At 41.6% G+C, this 26,551-nt stretch overlaps 1 protein-coding gene and 1 long non-coding RNA gene across 25 annotated transcripts in view; one reads left to right on the top strand and one right to left on the bottom strand.

Moving 5' to 3' along the window:
* LOC100130256 (uncharacterized) overlaps positions 1-25,611 on the top strand; it is a 96,216-nt gene extending 70,605 nt beyond the window's left edge. For 7 of the 14 annotated variants that reach the window (NR_187625.1, NR_187623.1, NR_187622.1 and 4 more), the window contains 3 exons: positions 237-361; positions 2,911-3,034; positions 21,759-25,611. This is a non-coding gene — a long non-coding RNA (uncharacterized LOC100130256). Of the gene's footprint in view, positions 1-236; positions 3,035-5,594; positions 5,677-21,758 lie in introns of those variants that run through there. The other 7 variants (NR_187620.1, NR_187619.1, NR_187627.1 and 4 more) reach the window with 5 other exon arrangements.
* MYO3B (myosin IIIB) overlaps positions 1-26,551 on the bottom strand; it is a 477,021-nt gene that overhangs the window by 13,765 nt on the left and 436,705 nt on the right. The gene's annotated exons all lie outside the window — the stretch shown is intronic.

Here is a 26,551-nt window from a genome sequence, read left to right as displayed (position 1 = left end):
TGTTTTTTTCAATCGCCATCCAGAAATTGTGCAGCAAAATACACTTCTGCCACCTATACCTATATTACCCATTTAAGCAGGTCCTCACCAGCATGAGATGGTTCTTAAGAAAAAGTCTGACAATTTAATAGGTGCAAAAATAACACCTCATTTGTGTTTCTATTTGCATGCCATTGATTATTTGAAAAGGCTGAATGTTCCCTACCCTCCCAGTTTATTCACCATTTGTGTTTCAGGATTCCTCTTCAGTTGGAAACAGCAGCAAAGTTCACAGGTCGTGAGTGGATGTAAAGTGGACGGAACAGGTTGTTGCCAGTCTATTGGAGTAGGATGGTAGATGAGCAGTCCCGTTGGCTAACAGGTGTGGGTATGCCTGTTTTAAAAATTAGCATGTTGTAGGGGAATATTTCTCAAACTTTTGTCACGTATCTACCTCTTAGGCATTTTTTACTTTATTCACCTGTACTACTATTTAATATTTTTAAAATTCAACTGATTTTTTTTTTTGCTTAAATACATGTCTTTAAAACTGGAACTTTATTCGCCACTGTAAATGGAAAACCAGTGTCATTTGCCATATATAGAAGTGAACTATATAGTAAATACGGTGAAAGTGAAATGGTATCATCACACTTGTGCTAGATTCCATTTCCTATAGAAGGTTCTGGGTTTCTTAAAAGGCTTGTTAAAAAGAGAGATGAGTAAATGTGAGAGGAATTTAAGACATACTAGCACCATTAAGACTTTCTCCTTAAAGTAATCTGGAGGATTTAAATTGAGAATTGAAAAAAGTAACTTTATTTTACATAAGAAATTATGTAAAAGAATTATGTTATTTAATGCCACATCCATACGTCATCAAGAGTCAACTTGGTGACCACTAGTGGCCCATGTCCCACACTTTGAGAAACGTGTGTTGGGGTGGGAATCTGAAGTCAGAAAAACTGGAGTATGATAACCACCTCAGCACTTATTAGAGGCCTTCACTTGGGAATGATGACCCTTCCTTGTAGGGTTGTAGTGAGAATGACAGATAATATATGAAAAGATAAAACATGGTGCCAGAGGCATTAGCAGGTGCTGCGAAGGGGCTGTTGTATTTCTTGTTATACTGGAGTGGTTCTCCACCCTGGATGCATATTAGAATCATCTGAAGGGCTTTTTAAAAATACAGATATCATGACCTCACCCCTGGAGATCCTAATTTAATTGGTCAGGGGTAGGGTTCTGGCATTGTTACTTGTTTAAAACAAAGTTCCTCCTCCTTCCCAGTGATTTTAATTTGTAGCCAGTGTTGGAAAAACCATGGACTTAACCCTTTCCTAAGAGCTTAGATCAATTCTGCAGATTAGCTATCTGCCATTTTGAAAAGGTGGCATAAGCTCAGGGAAGTATTCACTGGACAAAAGGAATTCTGGATGGCGGAAGCTCTAGGCACCATCAGGCACTTGCTTTGTGCTGGAAGCTGCATCAAATGGCTTGAGCCCAAAGTAGACATAAGGGCTCCTTATTTCCCTGGACACTGGGAAAATCATTTCTCTTATTCCAAGAGAACAATTTTGCTGACCATGGAAATACTATCTCTGGTTTCCAGAGGTACAGTGCTGTTCAGTGCTCTTCTGGAGGTTGTAGTATGAAGAAATGACAAAGCCAAAAAGGCATTCTGACCTAGGGAGACTATCTTTAAAGCAAAATATAAATGTAGGGCAAAAACTCTGCGGTCTCAGGAGGATTGGATCCAGGGGAAAATGTTTAAAAGGCAAACGTTTAGAATCAATTATACAGCTTCAGCAATGGTTTGCTATTGTCTTGCTGTCTTTTTGTTTTGCTTTGTGTAGTGTTCAGAATATCTGCATCATGTAGCATCTTTCTATTTTTAGGAGTCTTTAAACTCCTTTATTCTGAGGCCCCAGAATATTCTCATCCACCACGTACTTTCACGTGGAGATGACTGACTTCATCTTTGACAATGGCAGTTCCCTAACCTTGATCCAGCACGGGAGCAGGAATTATGGCGAAAATGGCCACCCAAACTGCACCCAGTGGGAAAACAGCATTAACTCAGCTTTTAAAAAAGTGTCAACTTGGAAAATCCAAGACCTAGATCTGATGCTTAGGGACCCACAATGCCAGGCAGCAGTCTGGGAGATGTCACTTCTGGAGCTTCTAATGAGATGCAAATCACCTAGTGAACTACTGGGGAGCTGGGAAACAATGTCCTGGGTAAAAGCAGATAAAAATGGAATGAAAGAATTTCTTTGAAGATTGGAACGACATTTTAAGTGCTTGCGGATATGGGACACCAGATAGTGTTGGTTTTACTAAGCTAATTGTGACGGGGTCTTTGATTCCCTGCAGCAGGGGACCCTGGGGCACTCGTCTCCAGCTCTGCCTCACTCTTTGAGGAGCTAGTTCCAGTTCTACTGTGAGTGTGCAAGGGGCTGGTCAGCTGTAGCAAAACCAGCACTGGACATGGGGGATCAGAAGACCCCGGCACACATAGTTCAAGTTGTGACACATATTGGTATGTGACCTTAAGTGAATCCCTTACCCCTCTGCTGCCATGTTTTATGTGTAAAATGATAAAGAGAGGGGTGGACTGAGGTAGTAATTTTTAATGGAGAACATTGGTGTGGCAAATTACACATGTTCTGGCCTGAAGATTCTGAGCTGCTCTCCTTGGAGTCACATTCTTTCCCAGTGTGTGAACATCTGTGTGCAGTGAGAGACATGCCTGATGGGGATCTGTTGCCTGAAGCCAGTGTGAAGGCAGGAAAAGGGTAAGAACCATTAGCCCAGAGGCCCTTTAAAGTCCCTTCCAACTTTAAGATGCTGTAACTCCAGAGTAATCGCCAGTTAACCTCTTGGAGCCTCATCTGTGAAACTGACATAAATGCTTTTGCTTTTCAGCTTGTTGGAATTTAAATACGACCAATCAAAATGTGTTTAGGCTTCAAAGGAAAAAGTTCTCCATAAATACACCAGAATTTCATTCTAACATGATTCATTCATTCAAAGAGCACAGCTGCACAAGGTAGGTTCCCCTGAACCACTTTCTGGGTCATTTGGTTACTGATGGGCTAAAGGACATCATTAAAACCTCACCTCAGCCTTTGCCCAGCTGTTAGCAAAACCTGCAGTGTATAGATTAATATTGCACAGCTGTACAAATCCCCACCCAGGTCCATAAATTATAAAATATTTTTACACATAGAGAGGGCAGTCATTAGTATGAATGACATGATTTGGGGGAGGTTATATCTACAAATGTCTGGCAGGTGTGTGTGTGTGTGAGAGAGAGAGAGAGAGAGGGAGAGAGAGATTGAGTGGAAATAGAAAAGAATGTCAGTAGTAGACCAAAATAAAATCACAAATATAATTTTTTTCTTGCATTTAATTAATAAGATGTAAAAATGAAATCAATGAAGTGTTAGTGGTGAGAAATGCAGTTGTGATCTTTCAGTCTTAATCTTCAAAAAAGCCAAGAAAATAGTAAGTATCTGAGAGAAGCAAAGATTAAATAGAAAGGTATGGTTTGGTTATTTTCCTAATTTGTGCCGAATTTTGGAACAAATTTCTTAAGTACATTACATTATAAAATCAATTTGGTCCAACTATCCAGTAAACATTAAGACGTTTGTACAAGTAGGGCAGCACAAAGCTTTCAGTTCTCTGCTCTAATCAAGAATTTAAATTTCAGTTCTTCAGGGTCACAGAGAACTACCAAATTTCTTTGCCTTGTTTTACAATCCAATATGAGATTAGTAAAAATCCGTTACGGAAATAATGCATAAAATGATGACTTCTCATGCCCTCCCTGACCTGAGGAGGTTGCAAGAGATCTGAATTTCTCCACTGGACTCAAGATTTCTCAACAAATTAGCATCAGCAGCTTCCTGCCCCCACCCCTTTTAAATATCCCTATACTCAGGTGGGGCGTGGTGGCTCACACCTGTAATCCCAGCACTTTGGGAGGCTGAGGGGGGTGGATCACTTGAGGCCAGGAGTTTAAGACCAGCCTGTCCAACATAGCAAAACCCTGTCTCTACTAAAAATACAAAAAATTAGCCGGGCCTGGTGGCGTATGCCTGTAATCCCAGCTACTCGGGAGGGTGAGGCAGGAGAATCGCTTGAACCCGGGAGGCAGAGGTTGCAGTGAGCCAAGATCAGGCCACTGCACTCCAGCCTGGACGGCAGAGTGATACTCCATCTAAAAAAAAAAAAAAAAAAACCCTACACTCTGAGTGACCTACCTGATCAGTATAGCTATAAGCACCTTCCTATATGTCATAAAAAACAAACCAAGCTTAACCAAAAAGTAAATGGTTACAGTTGTTGCTAACAAAGCTGAGAAATGGGTATCTCCTGTGTTATACAAGTGATATTTCAGCCTTGACAAGGAAATTATTGCCTACACACACACACACACACACACACACACACACGCACAAAAGCAAATGCTTTGTCCATGAAGTTCGACCAAACTAAAAGATAGTTCCAGTGCAATGTAATTTTAAGTTTCCAAATGAACATATTCCAGGAGGCTCATATCAGTGGTCCTCAGCTCTTGACCCCTGAAGGAAACATTCTTTCAGGGACTTGGTTGTCTTGGTTTAGTCAAATAAAATATTAACAATCAGAAACCTGGCAGCATTTATCTGACAATATAGAGAAAATCATATTAACATGAGCTCTTCACTGGAATGATCTTGGACATCCATGATGGCACCGGGAAACGCGCCACCAGCTCTGGAAGGGTGGGAGGCTCTGGCTGACTTGGCACCTTCCCACTTCCAGCTCTCGTGGCCGCTCATCCTGCATGAGATGGGGACCCAGCAGAGAGGGGTTAAATGGGTTGAGAAGCCAGTCCAGCCAGGGGTCATTAGCAATCAAGGACCAGCATTAAAAGGCAGCAGGAGACTAAGGTTCTCTGACAGGCTTGGCTCCAGGCACCATCTGGAAGGAAAGAGGCTGTCAAAGTTGGCTTAAAAAAAAAAAAAAAGAAATTCATGGAGATCTTTTCTTTTCAATAACATAACACAAACAGTTATGTTATTTCCAGCGTGGCTCCTTCCTTGGAAGTTAGGTTATCTTCAAAGTGCTCTGTTTTTGAGAGTAGGGCCAGGCAGTCACATTTCTAGGCCTGTTTCTGGCCATGATGAACCAGTTATTGGCACCTGGGTTGGGACCAGCCCAAGACCAAGTGTATGGCCAACAAACTCTTATACTTTGATAGTGGCGAGAGATCGTAACACACATGCTTCATAATAAGGTAACTGGAATATGTCAGATCTAAAGTATGGGGCACAGCTCATATCCAATAATGCATTAATCATATTCCACACACTATATAATACGATCTGTGACTAAAAAGAAAAAAACAGACAGCTTTGCTTAGAAAACCTGTGTTCAAGCTGATCATCTAAGTTGTGATTTTTGACACAACTTAAATAATTCTAAAACAAGCCTGGGTTCACTTTCTAAGGTAATTTGTACAAGGAAATGTCAGTCAGGGGTGTTGCATATTACATACATGTGGTTACGAACTTGGTTTACATTATTGATTAAATTCATTTTCTCTTTCTCTTTTTTAGACCTTTGGATATCTCCTCCTCCTTCCCCTTATCTATAAATATGTAAGAAAGAAAACATGTTTAAAATACAATATTTTATTTCTTTTGATCACAGATTAGACTTAAAGAACAGAGATGCCCTATAATGTGATCTTTAAGAGATATTACAAAGCTTCCAATCTCACTGTGAGGATCGTTAATATATACATATATTTTATTATACTTTAAGTTCTAGGGTACATGTACACAATGTGCAGGTTTGTTACATATGTATACATGTGTTGTGTTGGTTTGCTGCACCCATTAACTTGTCATTTACATTAGGTATATCTCCTAATGCTATCCCTCCCCCGCTCCCCCCACCCCACGACAGGCCCCTGGTGTGTGATGTTCCTCTTACTGTGTCCGAGTGTACTCACTGTTCAATTCCCACCTATGAGTGAGAACACGCAGTGTTTGGTTTTCTGTCCTTGAGATAGTTTGCTCAGAATGATGGTTTCCAGCTTCATCCATGTCACTACAAAGGACATGAACCCATCATTTTTTATGGCTGCATAGTATTCCATGGTGTATATGTGCCACATTTTCTTAATCCAGTCTATCATTGTTGGACATTTGGATTGGTTGCAAGTCTTTGATACTGTGAATAATGCCACAATAAACATACATGTGCATGTGTCTTTATAGTAGCATGATTTATAATCCTTTTGGTATATACCCAGTAATGGGATCCCTGGGTCAAATGGTATTTCTAGTTCTGGATCCTTGAGGAATCGCCACACTGTCTTCCACAATGGTTGAACTAGTTTGCACTCCCACCAACAGTGTAAAAGTGTTCCTATTTCTCCACATCCTCTCCAGCACCTGTTGTTTCCTTTTTAATTATCGCCATTCTAACTGGTGTGAGATGGTATCTCATTGTGGTTTTGATTTGCATTTCACTGATGACCAGTGATGATCAGCATTTTTTCATGTGTCTGTTGGCTGCATAAATGTCTTCTTTTGAAAAGTGTCTGTTCATATCCTTTGCCCACTTTTTGATGGGGTTGATTTTTTCTTGTAAATTTGTTTGAGTTCTTTGTAGATTCTGGATTTCAGCCCTTTGTCAGATGGGTAGATTGCAAAAATTTCCTCCCATTCTGTAGGTTGCCTGTTCACTCTGATGGTAGTTTCTTTTGCTGTGCAGAAGCTCTTTAGTTTAATTAGATCCCATTTGTCAATTTTGGCTTTTGTTGCCATTGCTTTTGCTGTTTTAGTCATGAAGTCCTTGCCCATGCCTATGTCCTGAATGGTATTGCCTAGGTTTTCTTCTACAGTTTTTATGGTTTTAGGTCTAACATGTAAGTCTTTAATCCATCTTGAATTAATTTTTGTATAAGGTGTAAGGAAGGGATCCAGTTTCCGCTTTCTACATATGGCTAGCCAGTTTTCCCAGCACCATTTATTAAATAGGGAATCCTTTCCCCATTGCTTGTTTTTTGTTAGGTTTATCAAAGATCAGATGGTTGTAGATGTGTGGTGTTATTTCTGAGGCCTCTGTTCTGTTCCATTGGTCTATATCTCTGTTTTGGTACCAGTACCATGCTGTTTTGGTTACTGTAGCCTTGTAGTATTGTTTGAAGTCCGGTAGCGTGATTCTTCCAGCTTTGTTTTTTTGGCTTAGGATTGTCTTGGCAATGTGGGCTCTTTTTTGTTTCCATATGAACTTTAAAGTAGTTTTTTTCCAATTCTGTGAAGAAAGTCATTGGTAGCTTGATGGGGATGGCATTGCATCTATAAATTACCTAGGGCAGTATGGCCATTTTCACAATATTGATTCTTCCTATCCATGAGCATGGAATGTTCTTCCATTTGTTTGTGTCCTCTTTTATTTCGTTGATCAGTGGTTTGTAGTTCTCCTTGAAGAGGTCCTTCACAACCCTTGTAAGTTGCATTCCGAGGTATTTTATTCTCTTTGTAGGAATTGTGAATGGGAGTTCACTCATGATTTGGCTCTCTGTTTGTCTGTTACTGGTGTATAAGAATGCCTGTGATTTTTGCACATTGATTTTGTATCCTGAGACTTTGCTGAAGTTCCTTATTAGCTTAAGGAGATTTTGGGCTGAGACAATGGGGTTTTCTAAATATACAATCATCTGCAAACAGGGACAATTTGACTTCCTTTTTTCCTAACTGAATACCGTTTCTTTCTTTCTCTTGCCTGATTGCCCTGGCCAGAACTTCCAACACTATGTTGGATAGGAGTGGTGAGAGAGGGCATCCCTGTCTTGTGCCAGTTTTCAAAGGGAATGCTTCCAGTTTTTGCCCATTCAGTATGATACTGGCTGTGGGTTTATCATAAATAGCTCTTACTATTTTGAGATATGTTCCTTGAATACCTAGTTTATTGAGAGTTTTTAGCATGAAGCGCTGTTGAATTATATCCAAGGCCTTTTCTGCATCTGTTGAGATAATCATGTGGTTTTCTTCTTTGGTTCTGTTTATATGATGGATTAAGTTTATTGATTTGCGTATGTTGAACCAGCCTTGCATCCAGGGATGAATCCAAATTGATTTTGGTGGATAAGCTTTTTGATGTGCTGCTGGATTTGGTTTGCCAGTATTTTATTGAGGATTTCTGCATCGATGTTCGTCAGGGATATTGGTCTAAAATTCTCTTGTTTTGTTGTGTCTCTGCCAGGCTTTGGTATCAGGATGATGCTGGCCTCATAAAATGAGTTAGGGAGGATTCCCTCTTTTTCTATTGATTGGAATAGTTTCAAAAGGAATGGTACCAGCTCCTCCTTGTACCTCTGGTAGAATTCGGCTGTGAATCTGTCTGACCCTGGACTTTTTTTGGTTGGTAGGCTGTTAGTTATTGCCTCAATTTCAGAGCCTGTTATTGGTCTATTCAGCAATTCAGCTGTCTTTGGAGGGTATAAGTGTCGAGGAATTTATCCATTTCTTCTAGATTTTCTAGTTTATTTGCATAGAGGTGTTTATAGTATTCTCTGATGGTAGTTTGTATTTCTGTGGGATCAGTGGTGATATGCCGTTTATCATTTTTTATTATGTCTATTTGATTCTTCTCTCTTTTCTTCTTTATTAGTCTTGCTAGCAGTCTATCAATCTTATTGATCTTTTCAAAAAACCAGCTCCTGGATTCGTTGGTTTTTTTGAAGGGTTTTTTGTGTCTCTATCTCTTTCAGTTCTCCTCTGATCTTAGTTATTTCTTGGCTTCCGCTAGCTTTTGAATGTGTTTGCTCTTGCCTCTCTAGTTCTTTTAATTGTGATGTTAGGGTGTCAATTTTAGATCTTTCCTGCTTTCTCTTGTGGGCATTTAGTGCTATAAGTAAGTTTCCCTCTACACACTGCTTTAAATGTGTCCCAGAGATTCTGGTATGTTGTGTCTTTGTTCTCGTTGGTTTCAAAGAACATCTTTATTTCTGCCTTCATTTCGTTATGTACCCAGTAGTCATTCAGGAGCAGGTTGTTCAGTTTCCATGTAGTTGAGCGGTTTTGAGTGAGTTTCTTAATCCTGAGTTCTAATTTGACTGTGGTCTGAGAGACAGTTTGTTATGATTTCTGTTGTTTTACATTTGCTGAGGAGTGCTTTACTTCCAACTATGTGGTCAATTTTGGAACAAGTGCGATGTGGTGCTGAAAAGAATGTATATTCTGTTGATTTGGGGTGGAGAGTTCTGTAGATGTCTATTAGGTCTGCTTGGTGCAGAGCTGAGTTCAAGTCCTGGATATCCGTGTTAATCTTCTGTCTCGTTGATCTAATATTGACAGTGGGGTGTTAAAGTCTCCCACTATTATTGTGTGGGAGTCTAAGTCTCCTTGTGGGTCTCTCAGACTTGCTTTATGAATCTGGGTGCTCCTGTATATATTTAGGATAGTTAGCTCTTCTTGTTGGAATCATCTCTTTACCGTTATGTAATGGTTTTCCTTGTCTCTTTTGATCTTTGTTGGTTTAAACTCTGTTTTATCAGAGAGTAGCATTGCAACCCCTGCCTTTTTTTGTTTTCCGTTTGCTTGGTAGATCTTCCTCCATCCCTTTATTTTGAGCCTGTGTGTGTCTCTGCACATTGAATGTTGAATATTGGCCCCCACTCTCTTCTGGCTTGTAGAGTTTCTGCTGAGAGATCCACTGTTAGTCTGATGGGCTTCCCTTTGTGGGTAACCCGACCTTTCTCTCTGGCTGCCCTTAACATTTTTTCCTTCATTTCAACTTTGGTGTATCTGACAATTATGTGTCTTGGAGTTGCTCTTCTCCAGGAGTATCTATCTTTGTGGTGTTCTCTGTATTTCCTGAATTTGAATGTTGGCCTGCCTTGCTAGGTTGGGGAAGTTCTCCTGGGTAATATCCTGAAGAGGGTTTTCCAGCTTGGTTCCATTCTCCCCATCACTTTCAGGTACACCAATCAGATGTAGATTTGGTCTTTTCACATAGTCCCCTATTTCTTGGAGGCTTTGTTCATTTCTTTTTATTCTTTTTTCTCTAAACTTCTCTTCTCACTTCATTTCATTCATTTGATCTTCCATCATTGATACCCTTTCTTCCAGTTGATAGAGTCGGCTACTGAAGCTTGTGCATTCATCACGTAGTTCTCTTGCCATGGTTTTCAGCTCCATCAGGTCCTTTAAGGACTTCTCTGCATTGGTTATTCTAGTTAGCCATTCATCTAATCTTTTTTCAAGGTTTTTAACTTCTTTGCGATGGGTTCGAACTTCCTCCTTTAGCTCGGAGAAGTTTGGTCATCTGAAGCCTTCTTCTCTCAACTCGTCAAAGTCATTCTCCGTCCAGCTTTGTTCTGTTGCTGGCAAGGAGCTGCGTTCCTTTGGAGGAGAAGGGGCACTCTGGTTTTTAGAATTTTCAGCTTTTCTACTCTGGTATCTTCCCATCTTTGTGGTTTTATCTACCTTTGGTCTTTGATGATGGTGACCTACAGATGGGGTTTTGGTGTGGATGTCCTTTTTGTTGATATTGATGCTACTCCTTTGTGTTTGTTAGTTTTCCTTCTAACAGTCAGGTCCCTCAGTTGCAGGTCTGTTGGAGTTTGTTGGAGGTCCACTCCAGACCCTGTTTGCCTGGGTATAAGCAGCGGAGGCTGCAGAACAGCAAATGTTGCTGCCTGATCCTTCCTCTGAAGCTTCGTCTCAGAGGGGCACCCAGCTGTATGAGGTGTCAGTCGGCCTCTACTGGGAGGTGTCTCCTAGTTAGGCTACACGGGGGTCAGGGACCCACTTGAGGAGGCAGGCTATCTGTTCTCAGAGCTCAAACACTGTGCTGGGAGAACCACTGCTCTCTTCAGAGCTGTCACACAGGGACGTTTAAATCTGCAGAAATTTCTGTGCCTTTTGTTTAGCTATGCCCTGCCTCCAGAGGTGGAGTCTACAGAGGCAGGCAGGCCTCGTTGAGCTGCGGTGGGCCCCACTCAGTTCGAGCTTCCTGGCAGCTTTGTTTACCTACTCAAGCCTCAGCAATGGTGGACACCCCTCCACCAGCCAGGCTTGCCGCCTTGCAATTTGATCTCGGACTAGCAATGAGCAAGGATCCATGGGGGTGGGACCCACTGCGCCAAGTGCAGGATATAATCTCCTGGTGTGCTGCATGCTAAGACCTTCAGAAAAGTGCCACGTTTAGGTGGAGTGTCCCGATTTTCCTGGTACAGTCTGTCACGGTTTCCCTTGGCTAGGAAAGGGAAATCCCCCGATCCCTTGTGCTTCTCAGGTGAGGCAATGCCCCGCCCTGCTTCAGCTCGCCCTCCATGGGCTGCACCCACTTTCTGACCAGTCTCAATGAGATGAAGCAGGTACCTCAGCTGGAAATGCAGAAATCACCCATCTTCTGTGTTGATCATGCTGGGAGGTGTAGAATGGAGCTGTTCCTATTTGGCCGTCTTGGAATGGAAATCAGATCATTAATATTATAGCTGAGTTCATTAGAGGAATTACATTCTAGTTCATTATTGTGTGGGTTTTGTTTGTTTGTTTTTAGATAGAGTCTCGCTCTGTTGCGCAGGCTGGAGTGCAGTGGCACAATCTTGGCTAACTGCAATGTCTGCCTCCAAGGTTCAAGTGATTCTCCTGTCTCAGCCTCGTGAGTAGCTGGGATTATAGGCATGTGCCACCATGCCCAGCTAATTTTTTGTATTTTAGTAGAGATGGAGTTTCACCATGTTGCCCAGGCTGGTCTTGAACTCCTAAGCTCAGGCAATCCACCTGCCTTGGCCTCCCAAAGTGTTAGGATTACAGGTGTGAGCCACCGCACCCAGCCCGTTGTGTGGCTTTTAACATTAGTCTTCAGTATACCCTTAGTTCTGATATAAAAAAGGTATTACAAGAAAAAGGATTCAGGGTATATTTGTTTTTAGATGGTGATGGTACTTTTATGATAATTTTACCCTCTGCTAAAATCACCCTCATGAAGCTTCTGGCCAGTTTATAGATGCTTGGGATGGGGGAAAAATAACAGGGAAGATCTAAGACTCTGTAGCCTCAGATACAGCCTCACCAGAGGGTGAGTCAGGTGATACTGGCTGCTAATCCAGGAAGTGGGCATCATTTGGAGGGGTAATCAGGGTGGCTGGCAGTCCAGCAGAAGTCCAGCAGAAATGCAAGATTCTGGGGATTGAATCTGGATCATTTTAAATCATCCAATCCTAAACTTTTGACAGTTTATGCCCATACTGGCCAGCCTGTCTGAGACAGTGTATTAATCGGAGGTCCAATTACACAGAACAGAGTTTGTTTAAAAACAGACAAGCAAGTCCCAGAGACAGAACACTGTGGGTATGGATGAATCCTGTCCTTAACGTTCTTCGGTTGGGCTCACTCTGATTTTGACTTTTCTCACTGTTCTCATGGAGACTTTTGGTTTTCATAGGATGTAAGTGTGCCTACATAAACATGACACTTGAGTCATGAAAACCCAGACCTGATCAGAGTTATAGGGTTCCTGGGAAAGACTATGGGAAGATTCTTTTAAAAAAAATTGTTTGGTAAAAATATCCAAACTTGAAGCCTACTATCCAATCCTATACTAAAGCTTCACAAAAGATGCTGTATGGACCATTGTTGGTAAAGTGAACTTCTAGGGGGGCTTTGATGCCTTCAGTGGCTGTAGGTTTTGTAATATCAGAGTTTGATTTATAAGAATATAAGAGGACAGTTCCAAGATGGCCGAATAGGCACAGCTCCAGTCTACAGCTCCCAGCGTGAACGATGCAGAAGACGGGTGATTTCTGCATTTCCAACTGAGGTACCGGGTTCATCTCACAGGGGCTTGTCGGACGGTGGGTGCAGCGCACTGAGCGTGAGCCAAAGCAGGGCAAGGCATTGCCTCATCCAGGAAGCACAAGGGGTCAGGGAATTCCCTTTCACAGCCAAGCAAAGCTGTGACAGATGGCACCTGGAAAATCGGGTCACTCCCACCCTAATACTGTGCTTTTCCAACGGTCTTAGCAAACAGCACACCAGGAGATTATATCCTGCGCCTGGCTCAGAGGGTCCCATGCCCACGGAGCCTCGCTCATTGCTAGCACAGCAGTCTGAGATCGAACTGCAAGGCAGCAGTGAGGCTGGGGGTGGGGCGCCTGCCACTGCTGAGGCTTGAGTAGGTAAACAAAGCAGCCAGGAAGCTCGAACTGGGTGGAGCCCAATGCAGCTCAAGGAGGCCTGCCTGCCTCTGTAGACTCCATCTCTGGAGGCAGGTCATAGCCAAACAAAAGGCAGCAGAAACCTCTGAAGACTTAAATGTCCCTGTCTGACAGCTTTGAAGAGAGTAGTGGTTCTCCCAGCACAGAGTTTGAGATCTGAGAACAGACAGACTGCCTCAAGTGGGTCCCTGACCCCCGAGTAGCCTAACTGGGAGGCACCCCCCAGTAGGGGCAGACTGACATGTCACATGGCGAGGTACCCCTCTGAGACGAAACCTCCAGAAAAACGATCAGACAGCAATATTTGCTGTTCAGCAATATTCGCTGATCTACACCCTCCGCTGGTGATACCCAGGCAAACAGGGTCTGGAGTGGACCTCCAACAAACTCCAACAGACCTGCAGCTGAAGGTCCTGACTGTTAGAAGGAAAACTAACAAACAGAAAGGACATCCACACCAAAACCCCATCTGTAGGTCACCATCATCAAAGACCAAAGGTAGATAAACCACAAAGATGGGGAAAAAACAGAACAGAAAAACAGAAAATTCTAAAAATCAGAGCGCCTCTCCTCTTCCAAAGGAACACAGCTCCTCACCAGCAACAGAACAAAGCTGGACGGAGAATGACTTTGACGAATTGAGAGAAGAAGGCTTCAGATGACCAAACTTCTCCGAGCTAAAGGAGGAAGTTCGAACCCATCGCAAAGAAGTTAAAAACCTTGAAAAAAGATTAGATGAATGGCTAACTAGAATAACCAATGCAGAGAAGTCCTTAAAGGACCTGATGGAGCTGAAAACCATGGCAAGAGAACTACGTGATGAATGCACAAGCTTCAGTAGCCGATTCTATCAACTGGAAGAAAGGGTATCAATGATGGAAGATCAAATGAATGAAATGAAGTGAGAAGAGAAGTTTAGAGAAAAAAGAATAAAAAGAAACGAACAAAGCCTCCAAGAAATAGGGGACTATGTGAAAAGACCAAATCTACATCTGATTGGTGTACCTGAAGTGATGGGGAGAATGGAACCAAGCTGGAAAACCCTCTTCAGGATATTACCCAGGAGAACTTCCCCAACCTAGCAAGGCAGGCCAACATTCAAATTCAGGAAATACAGAGAACACCACAAAGATAGATACTCCTGGAGAAGAGCAACTCCAAGACACATAATTGTCAGATACACCAAAGTTGAAATGAAGGAAAAAATGTTAAGGGCAGCCAGAGAGAAAGGTCGGGTTACCCACAAAGGGAAGCCCATCAGACTAACAGTGGATCTCTCAGCAGAAACTCTACAAGCCAGAAGAGAGTGGGGGCCCATATTCAACATTCCTAAAGAAATGAATTTTCAACCCAGAATTTCATATCCAGCCAAACTAAGCTTCATAAGTGAAGGAGAAATAAAATCCTTTACAGACAAGCAAATGCTGAGAGATTCTGTCACCACCAGGCCTGCCCTACAAGAGCTCCTGAAGGATGCACTAAACATGGAAAGGAACAACTGGTACCAGCCACTGCAAAAACTTGCCAAATTGTAAAGACCATCTATCCTCGGAAGAAACTGCATCAACTAATGAGCAAAATAGCCAGCTAACATCATAATGACAGGATCAAATTCACACATAACAATATTAACCTTAAATGTAAATGGGCTAAATGCTCCAATTGACACAGACTGGCAAATTGGATGAAAAGTCAAGACCCATCAGTGTGCTGTATTCAGGAAACCCATCTCACGTGCAGAGACACACATAGGCTCAAAATAAAGGGATGGAGACAGATCTACCGAGCAAATGGAAAACAAAAGGCAGGGGTTGCAATCCTAGTCTCTGATAAAACAGACTTTAAACCAACAAAGATCAAAAGAGATAAAGAAGGCCATTACATAATCGTAAAGGGATCAATTCAACAAGAAGAGCTAACTATCCTAAATATATATGCACCCAGTACAGGAGCACCCAGATTCATAAAGCAAGTCCTTAGAGACCTACAAAGAGACTTAGACTCCCACACAATAATAATGGGAGACTTCAACACCCCACGGTCAACATTAAACAGATCAACGAGACAGAAAGTTAACAAGGATATCCAGGAAATGAATTTAGCTCTGCTCCAAGCAGACATAATAGACATCTACAGAACTTTCCACCCCAAATCAACAGAATATACATTCTTCTCAGCACCACACCAAACCTATTCCAAAATTGACCACATAGTTGGAAGTAAAGCACTCCTCAGCAGAGGTAAAAGAACAGAAATTATAACAAACTGTCTCTCAGACCACAGTGCAATCAAACTAGAACTCAGGATTAAGAAACTCACTCAAAACCGCTCAACTACGTGGGAACTGAACAACCTGCTCCTGAATGACTACTGGGTACATAACGAAATGAAGGCAGAAATAAAGATGTTCTTTGAAACCAATGAGAACAAAGACACAACATACCAGAATCTCTGGGACACATTTAAAGCAGTGTGTAGAGGGAAACTTATAGCACTAAATGCCCACAAGAGAAAGCAGGAAAGATCTAAAATTGACACCCTAACATCACAATTAAAAGAACTAGCGAGGCAAGAGCAAACACATTCAAAAGCTAGCAGAAAGCAAGAAATAACTAAGATCAGAGCAGAAATGAGGGAGATAGAGACACAAAAAACCCTTTGAAAAATCAATGAATCCAGGAGCTGGTTTTTTGAAAAGATCAACAAAATTGATAGACTGCTAGCAAGACTAATGAAGAAAAGAGAGAAGAATCAAATAGATGTGATAAAGGGCATATCACCACGGATCCCACAGAAATACAAACTACCATCAGAGAATACTATAAACACCTCTATGCAAATAAACTAGAAAATCTAGAAGAAATGGATAAATACCTCCACACATATACCCTCCCAAGACTAAACCAGGAAGAAGCTGAATCTCTGAATAGACCAATAACAGGCTCTGAAATTGAGGCAATAATTAACTGCTTACCAACCAAAAAAAGTCCAGGACCAGACGGATTCACAGCCAAATTCTACCAGAGGTACAAGGAGGAGCTGGTACCATTCCTTCTGAAACTATTCCAATCAATGGAAAAAGACGAAATCCTCCCTAATTCATTTTATGAGGCCAGCATCATCCTGATACCAAAGCCTGGCAGAGACACAACAAAACAAGAGAATTTTAGACCAATATCCCTGATGAACATCGATGCAAAAATCCTCAATAAAATACTGGCAAACCGAATCCAGCAGCACATCAAAAAGCTTATCCACCATGATCAAGTGGGCTTCATTCCTGGGATGCAAGGCTGGTTCAACATATGAAAATCAATAAACTTAATCCATCATATAAACAGAACCAAAGAGAAAAACCACATGATTATCTCAATAGATGCAGAAAAGGCCTTTGACAAAATTCAACAGCCTTTTATGCTAAAAACTCTCAATAAATTAGGTATTGATGAGATGTATATCAAAATAATAAGAGCTATTTATGACAAACCCACAGCCAATATCATACTGAATGGGCAAAAACTGGAAGCATTCCCTCTGAAAGCTGGCACAAGACAAGGATGCCCTCTCTCACCACTCCTATCCAACATAGTGTTGGAAGTTCTGGCCAGGGCAATCAGGCAGGAGAAAGAAAGAAAGGGTACTCAATTAGGAAAAGAGGAAGTCAAATCGTCCCTGTTTGCAGATGACATGATTGTATATCTAGAAAGTCCCATCGTCTCAGCCCAAAATCTCCTTATGCTGATAAGCAACCTCAGCAAAGTCTCAGGATACAAAATCAACGTGCAAAAATCACAAGCAGTCTTATACACCAATAACAGACAGACAAATCATGAGTGAACTCCCATTCACAATTCCTACAAAGAGAATAAAATGCCTCGGAATGCAACTTAAAAGGGATGTGAAGGATCTCTTCAAGGAGAACTACAAACCACTGCTCTACGAAATAAAAGAGGACACAAACAAATGGAAGAACATTCCATGCTCATGGATAGGAAGAATCAATATTGTGAAAATGACCATACTGCCCTAGGTAATTTATAGATGCAATGCCATCCCCATCAAGCTACCAATGACTTTCTTCACAGAATTGGAAAAAACTACTTTAAAGTTCATATGGAACCAAAAAAGAGCCCACATTGCCAAGTCAATCTGAAGCCAAAAGAACAAAGCTGGAGGCATCACACTACCTGACTTCAAACTATACTACGAGGCTACAGTAACCAAAATAGCATGGTACTGGTACCAAAACAGAAATATAGACCAATGGAACAGAACAGAGGCCTCAGAAATAATACCACACATCTACACTACCTGATCTTTGACAAACCTGACAAAAACAAGAAATGGGAAAAGGATTCCCTATTTAACAAATGGTGCTGGGAAAACTGGCTAGCCATATGTAGAAAGATGAAACTGGATCCCTTTGTTACACATTATACAAAAATTAATTCAAGATGGATTAAAAACTTAAATGTTAGACCTAAAACCATAAAAACTCTAGAAGAAAACCTAGGCAATACCATTCAGGATAGAGGCATGGGCAAAGACTTCATGTCTAAAACACCAAAAGCAATGGCAACAAAAGCCAAAATTGACAAATGGGATCTAATTAAACTAAAGAGCTTCTGCACAGCAAAAGAAACTACCATCAGAGTGAACAGGCAACCTACAGAATAGGAGAAAATTTTTGCAGTCTACCCATCTGACAAAGGGCTAAAATCCAGAATCGACAAAGAACTCAAACAAATTTACAAGAAAAAATCAAACAACCCCATCAAAAAATGTGCAAAGTATATGAACAGACACTTTTCAAAAGAAGACATTTATGCAGCCAACAAACATATGAAAAAATGCTCATCATCACTGGCCATCAGAGAAATGCAAATCAAAACCACAGTGAGATACCATCTCACACCAGTTAGAATGGCAATCATTAAAAAGTCAGGAAACAACAGGTGCTGGAGAGGATGTGGAGAAATAGGAACAGTTTTACACTGTTGGTGGGACTGTACACTAGTTCAACCATTGTGGAAGACAGTGTGGCGATTCCTCAGGGATCTAGAACTAGAAATACCATTTGACCCAGCTATCCCATTACTGGGTATATACCCAAAGGAATATAAATCATACTGCTATAAAGACACATGCACACGTATGTTTACTGCGGCACTACTCACAATAGTAAAGACTTGGGACCAACCCAAATGTCCAACAATGATAGACTGGATTAAGAAAATGTGGCATATATACACCATGGAATACTATGCAGCCATAAAAAATGATGAGTTCCTGTCCTTTGTAGGGACATGGATGAAGCTGGAAACCATCATTCTGAGCAAACCCTCACAAGGACAAAAAACCAAACACCGCATGTTCTCACTCATAGGTGGGAATTGAACAATGAGAACACCAGGACACAGGAAGGGGAACATCACACACCGGGGCCTGTTGTGGGGTGGGGGGAGGGGTGAGGGATAGCATTAGGAGATATACCTAATGTAAATGATGAGTTAATGGGTGCAGCAAACCAACATGGCACATGTATACATATGTAACAAACCTGCACGTTGTGCACATGTACCCTAGAACTTAAAGTATAATAATAAAAAAAAATGTATATTATAAAAGAATGTAAGAATGTGCATATTTATTTCCTTGCATATTAATGGCATAAGAAACTGTTAACAGGGACTTGGGGTAAGGCTTGTGGGAGGAAGGTAGTTTTCACTGTATTCCTTTTGTATTGTTTTAAGTTTTTACTTGTTTTTTAAGCAAGCATGTATCACTTTATATGATATTTAAAAGTTGCTCTTCTCAGGACAGAAAATCATTTTGATTCATTTCTAATTCAAATAAGCACTAATTGAGGATATTTTAATATATCCTCACATTGTGAAAGGATTAAGGCACAATTTCTAGCTTCAAAACTGTACAGTAGGCTAGGGTTAGGAACCTTAACAATTAGCCACACTGCAACATTGGAAATTACTGATTTTCTGAACATTAAGTAGTTCAGGCTTTCTTACATGAAAGTTGAAACTTGAGCATTTTTCTTTTTAGAACTATATAAGTAAAGGATGTAAGATTTAGATTCTCAGTATTTAGAAGGGTGGAGCCGATTTAAAGGTAGAAATAGTTGGCTTTTGGCTTTTGAAATGAAGGTTGAGAACAACTGCCAAGTTGCAAGATTACTTCCTGAGGGTCAGTTGTATGCAAAGCAAATACAAGGGTAAGATCAGCTCCTACATTCAAAGGGTTTAAAATCTAGGGGACAGGTGGGAAAAACAGGTACATGGTAATACATGGCAGAATGTGACATGTGCTCCAAAACAGGTACACAATTCAGATTATAAAGGTCATTTCTAGCCGGGCATGGTGGCTAATGCCTGGTGGCTCACGGTGGCCCCAGTACTTTGGGAGGCCGAGGCGGGTGGATCATTTGAGGTCAGGAGTTTGAGACCGGCCTGACCAACATGACGAAATAACATCTCTACTAAAAATACAAAAAAATTAGCTGGGCCTGGTGGTGCACATCTGTAGTCCCAACTACCCGGGAGGCTGAGGCAGAAGAATCACTTGAACCTGGGAGGCGGAGGTTGCACTGAGCCAAGATCACACCACTGCACTCCAGCCTGGGCACAGAGTGAGACTCTGTCTCAAAAACAAAAAAACAAAAAAACAAAAAAACATTTCCAGTTGGTAGTAAGAAAAGGCTTCATATAAGTTGTAGTATTTAATATGGAGCTTAAAATATGTGTGAAAGGTGGGAAGGAAGAGCATCTTGTAACTTGCCTGAAGAAAGGTGTTATATTAGAAGGGTGTCATAATAATTTATTGAGCCCTTACTATGTACCAGATACTCCATATGAACTAACTCATTGAATAAAACATAAAATAAACCTATGAAGTAACCTCCTGGGGAGCAGTTCTCCAAGTGTTTCTATACATATGTGACAACTGTTGTCCTGGACTATCTTTTCAAAAATATTTCTATGGTTGGCCGGGTGCGGTGGCTCATGCATGTAATCCCAGCACTTTGGGAGGCCGAGGCGGGTGGATTGCTTGAGGTCAGGAGTTCGAGACCAGCCTGGCCGAGATGGTGAAACCCTGTCTCTGCTAAAAATACAAAAATTAGCCAGGCACAGTGGCGGGTGCCTGTAATCCCAGCTACTCGGGAGGCTGAGGCAGGAGAAGCGCTTGAACCCGGGAGGCGGAGGCTGCAGTGAGCCGAGATCCCGCCACTGCACTCTAACCTGGGTGACAGAGCAAGACTCCAACTAAAAAAAAGAAAAAAAAATTTGTATGGCAAACACCCTGAGAGGCTAGAGATCATGTCTTTCTCCAATGCAGAGGACAGAGTCGCTTCCTGACTAGGATAATAAAGAAAATGTCTCCCTCTAGGCCAAAGGGTGGGCAGCCTTGCTGCAGCCTGTTACGAGACTGAAAGGTTCCTAAGCTCAGGGTTCTTCAACAGTGACACAAATCCACTGTGTGCACAGATCTACCCGGGCCATTTTCCATCTACCCCATGGGATTTGGGGACAAGGGTAACCAATGGGAACATGAAGCTCATGCTGCCTACTGTCTTGTGAATAATCAAGTCTTTTGTCTCTGACATGGGAATCTCATGCCTTCTGCTAGTTTCTGTGAAGATGGGGCAGGCTAACTTGTTAGCCTACAAGCAGGGTAAAATCTCAGACCCTTTGCAGTTCTTGACAAAAGTACAATTATTGTCACTATCTATAGAGAAAGAGGCAGAGAGATTTGATGACTTGCCTAATATAGTTAATAAATGGAAGAGGAGCTGACATTCCAGCTCAGGCACTCTGTCTCTAGAATTGAACTCTTAACCAGTACAGTAAACTCTTATTAATTGGCCTCAGCCTGTTATGTGTCATGGAAGTACAGTCTGTAAAAGCAAAGTGGAGTTTTGCCTGGAATGTTAGACTGAGGTATTTGTATGAAATTCTTAAGGAAGAAGTGTTTTTTTTTTGGTTTGGAAAAAGCAAAGAAATCATGTTGTTTGTTTGTTTGAAACCCTCCAAAGATTTATCATCTCACTTGGAGTAAAAGCCAAAGTCCTTATAAGCCTTACCTCATATTATGGTGGACAGCCTCTAAGGTGGTCCTTTAATGATCCCCACTTCTTGGTATTCACATTCTGTTTAATTACCTCTCTTTGGGCTTAGTGACTTGCTTCTAATAAACAGAATATGGCAGCAAGCCAGCCTGGCCAACATGGTGAAACCCTGTCTCTACTAAAAATACAAAAATTAGCCAGGCATGGTGGCGCATGCCTGTAATCCCAGCTACTCAGGAGGCTGAGGCAGGAGAATTGCTTGAACCTGGGAGGCAGAGGTTGCAGTGAGCTGAGATCACCCCACCGCACTCTAGCTTGGGCAACAGAACGAGACTCTGTCTCAAAAAAAAAAAAAAAAAAAAAAAAAAAGAATATGGCAGCAGTGATGGGCCATCACTTTAGAGATGAGGTTTGAAAAAGACTGTGGTTTCTATCTTGTGTGCTTTCTCTCACTCTCTCCAGGGGAAGACAGCTGCCACATGGTAACGCAGTCCTGTAAAGAGTCCCATGTGGTGAGAGACGTGGTTGGGAGTGAGCTTGGAAGTGGATCCCCAACCCTCGTCCCCAAACTGAGACTTCACATGAGACTGCAGCTCTGGCCAACAGCTTCACTGTAACCTCACAACAGACCTTGAGCCACAAGCACCCAGCTAAGCTGCAGGGAGACCCCCTGAAACTATTGCTACGGAATAAAAGATGAAATGCTCCTGATTATTGTAAATACAAAGTTGCATGCAGGATTGTGTAAAGACAATGCCAGGTTGGACTGCCAGAATGAGCCAACTGCACGTGATGTGATTCCCCCTGCAGAGAGCCTATGAATGGACGTGCAGTCAGGGAGGTTTCACATCACCAAGATTCCTATCCTAGAAAGGCAGATGTTCATAGCTCTAGGAATGGAATGCGACCCTTGTGGAGAGCCTATAAACGGATGCATGGGGGTGGGGCGCCTGTCCATATGGATAAGATAGGGCTAGAAACGCCCTCATCTTGCCACAGCTCTTCTAGGCCTCTTTAGGGTTAAGGCATACTCCCTTCTGAGAATTTCTGGTCTAACTGGTTGTCTAGCTTCACATCCTGTTTCCGTGGATTGTTTGTAACCAGCTTTTGTTGCAATTGTTACTGCTGATTAATATCTTGCTAATCATAGGTTATGGAAAGATTGTGCTTCTGTTTTAAGGCTCTGTTAGAAATTACTGACGCACACACTATATTGTAAATTCTTATCTCTCTATGCTGTACTTCTACATACAAATGTACTGTACTTCTACATACAAATGTACTGTACTTCTACATACAAATGTTATGTTAATTACTTCATCCCCATGTGACCATCTCACCTCATAATCAAATGACCCTAAATCCCTCACTAACCAACCCCCACCCTCACTTAACTTAATAATAAACGCTGGTATATCCAGAGCATTGTTGGCACCATGGGACCAGAAGGCGGTGACCCCCCTGGACCCAGCTTTCACTATCTTGTGTGTGTCTATTATTTCCCAACCTGCTGATCTGCCTGGGAACAAAGAGAGAGCCCCATTGCATTGTGGGCTGCTGACCAGATCCTGAAGATGCATGCAACAACGAGACAGAGAAATTTGCTGAAAAAGCACCACAGCAGGAAACAACTAACACATCCAATCATCAAAAAGAAGAAAAGACCACGCTAACTCCTTTACAACAGACAATCCAGACAGCCATCCTGAACAACTTGTCTCCAGCGATCCAGGTCTGGCTCAACCTCTGCCTCCTCCTGATGACACTGATCCTTCTACCTCTGTTACGCCACAGACTGTTAAAAACTATACATATTGGGCCTATATTCCTTTTCCTCCTCTTATTCGAGCCGTGACATGGATGGATGCTCCTATCGAGGTCTATGTTAATGATAGTATTTGGATGCCTGGTTCTCTAGATGATCGTTGTCCTGCACAACCTTCAGAAGAAGGAACCCCTTTCAATATCACTTTAGGTTTTAGGTATCCACCTTTCTGCCTGGGACCCACTAATGTATGTCTCTCATTAGATATTCAAACTTGGGCTGTCACACTACCGTCTGGTCACTCTGTCCCTCCTTTAGGACACTTGATATCAGGGCTCTCATTAAAACCTCTAAGGCAGATCAAAACAGTAATCACTGATTATATTCACACATCCCAATATAAGCCTTTAGACCTGTGTGTCCTCTCAACTTGTCTTCAAATGCTGACAAAATTAATATGGAAAGACTGTGTTAGCTCAGAAGGAACCGTGTTATTTAATTCTTCTCACTACACCATTGTTGATTGGGCTCCTAAAGGTCATATTACTAATGATTGCTCTCAAGGTCACAGAGATTGTCAACATTTTCTCTATAATATTACTTATCAAAAACGTAGTGACAGCCCTCCCCTATTATATCGTAGATTTAACTCCTTTTTTCCTCTTAAGTGGAAAGGGGCAGGGGTTGCGCCTCCAAAGCCAAGGCTCATTGTTCCCCACATAGGACCTGAACATTCCAAATTATGGAGATTAACAATAGCTATGACTGGTATGAGAGTTTGGGCTGGAGAAAGTGTTATAAGTAAATCCACTTTGTCACCTCAAAATGTATATACTCTCTATATGGAGTCCAACAAAACTATACCACTTAAAAGTTGTGTTAAACCACCATATATGTTATTAGCAGGAAAGTTGCATATTAGTTCAAAAACCAACATAATTACCTGTGTTAATTGTTACTTGTATACTTGTATTGACTCATCCTTTAATCAATATCATAGTATTTTAATAGTCAGAGCCAGACAAGATATTTGGCTCCCTGTAGCCTTACATAGGCCTTGGGAATCTTCCCCCTTTATCCATGTTATTAACAATATTCTATAGAAAATTCTTAAAAGGAGTAAACAATTTATTTTTACATTAATTGCAATAATAATGGGCTTGATTGCTGTTACTGTGATTGCTGCTACTGCTGGAGTTGCATTACGTCCATCTATTCAAACTGTTCATTTTGTGGATAAATGGCAAAAAAATTCTACTCGGATGTGGAATTCTCAGGTATTGATCAAAAATTGGCTAATCAAATTAATGATCTAAGACAAACTGTTATATGGATGGGAGGTAGAATTATGAGTTTAGAACATAGATTACAAATGCAATGTGATTGGAATACTTCTGATTTTTGTATAACTCCATTTCAATATAATGAGTCTGTTCACAATTGGGAATCAGTAAAATGCCATTTACAAGGAAGTGAAGATAATTTAAAGCTTTAGACATAAGCAAACTAAAAGAACAGATTTTTGAGGCCTCTCAAGCACACTTAACTGCTTTACCCGGTGCTGAAGTTTTAGACGGTATCTCTGAGGGATTATCTAATCTCAACCCCATTCAATAGGTAAAATCTTTGGGAGGATCCACTATCGTTAATTTTGTTCTGTGTATAATTTGTACTATTGGTTTATTGTTCATGTGTAAAATTGGAAAAAATATTCTTCAGTCCAATTGTGATCAGTGCCAAGCTATGATTGCTATGGTTCATTTAAATCAGAGAGAAGGGGGAGATGTAAGGAGACCCCCTGAAACTGTTGCTATGGAATAAAAGATGAAATGCTCCTGATTATTGTAAATACAAAGTTGCATGCAGGATTGTGTAAAGACAATGCCAGGTTGGACTGCCAGAATGAGCCAACTGCACGTGATGTGATTCCCCCTGCAGAGAGCCTATGAATGGACGTGCAGTCAGGGAGGTTTCACATCACCAAGATTCCTATCCTAGAAAGGCAGATGTTCATAGCTCTAGGAATGGAATGCGACCCTTGTGGAGAGCCTATAAACGGATGCATGGGGAGGTGGCTGTCCGTATGGATAAGATAGGGCTATAAACGCCCTCATCTTGCCACAGCTCTTCTAGGCCTCTTTAGGGTTAAGGCATACTCCCTTCTGGGAATTTCTGGTCTAACCGGTTGTCTAGCTTCACGTCCTGTTTCCATGGATTGTTTGTAACCAGCTTTTGTTGCAATTGTTACTGCTGATTAATATCTTGCTAATCATAGGTTATGGAAAGATTGTGTTTCTGTTTTAAGGCTCTGTTAGAAATTACTGACACACACACTATATTGTAAATTCTTATCTCTCTATACTGTACTTCTACATACAAATGTACTGTACTTCTACATACAAATGTTATGTGAAAGAATTACTTCATCCCCATGTGACCATCTCACCTCATAATCAAATGACCCTAAATCCCTCACTAACCTACCCCCACCCTCACTAAACTTAATAATAAACGCTGGTATATCCAGTGCATTGTTGGCACCATGGGACCGGAAGGCAGTGAACCCCCTGGACCCAGCTTTCACTATCTTGTGTGTGTCTATTATTTCTCAACCTGCCAATACACCTGGGAACAAAGAGAGAGCCCCATTGCATTGTGGGCTGCTGACCAGATCCTGCAATACTAATCTGCGTCCAGATTCCTGACCCACAGAAACTGTGATATAACAAATGTTTGCCGTTTTAAGCCACTAAGTTTTGGTGTAATTTGTAAGAAGCAATAGATAATGAATACATTCCTCCTCCTCCCCTCACTCACTTCCCTCTGTCTACACTGACTTCCTTGCTGTTTCTGGAACATACCAGCTTTGCTCTCACTTCAGGACCTTGGCACTGGCCATTCCCTCTTTAGAAAGCTCTTTTCTCAGACAGCTTTGTGCCTCTAGCACACCCTATCCCTCCGTCCTGACTTGTAGGTGTCACCTTCTATACAAGTGATTTTCTTTCTTGTCTGACTTTCCCATTGTCAGCTCCATGAGGCCAGGGATTTTTGCCTGTTTTGTTTACAGCTTTTCCTTCAGTGCCTAGAAGTGGGTTTGGTACATGGTAGGTACTGAGTAAACATGTGTGGTGAAGTGAGGGAGGAAGATACGTCTAGAGCTAGATATGTTGGGTTTTAGGTACCTGTGGGATTTTCAAGTGTAGTCACATGTGAAGGCAGGATCAGAGAGCAGGGGGCAAAACAGAGGAAAGTGTGACACCGAAACACAAAGGGAGGGACTCCACAGTAGTGAATGCTACAGAGAGGCAGGGAGGTCATTTAATGTAAGAAACAGAAAGTAACTGTGACATTAAATAACATCAGTTTCAAGACTGTGTTGGAGGCAAAAGCTAGATTAGTGAGCAAGGGAGGGAGGGGGAGGTGAAGAAGGGCCAGTAGTAAGAGTTACCTTCCAAGGAATGAGGCTGTGAAGAGTGGAGAAGAGAGCAAC

The sequence above is a fragment of the Homo sapiens genome, chromosome 2, assembly GCF_000001405.40.
Source record: "Homo sapiens chromosome 2, GRCh38.p14 Primary Assembly".
In the NCBI taxonomy this organism is placed as follows: Eukaryota; Metazoa; Chordata; class Mammalia; order Primates; family Hominidae; genus Homo; species Homo sapiens.
This window is presented reverse-complemented; position numbering and strand designations above follow the sequence as displayed.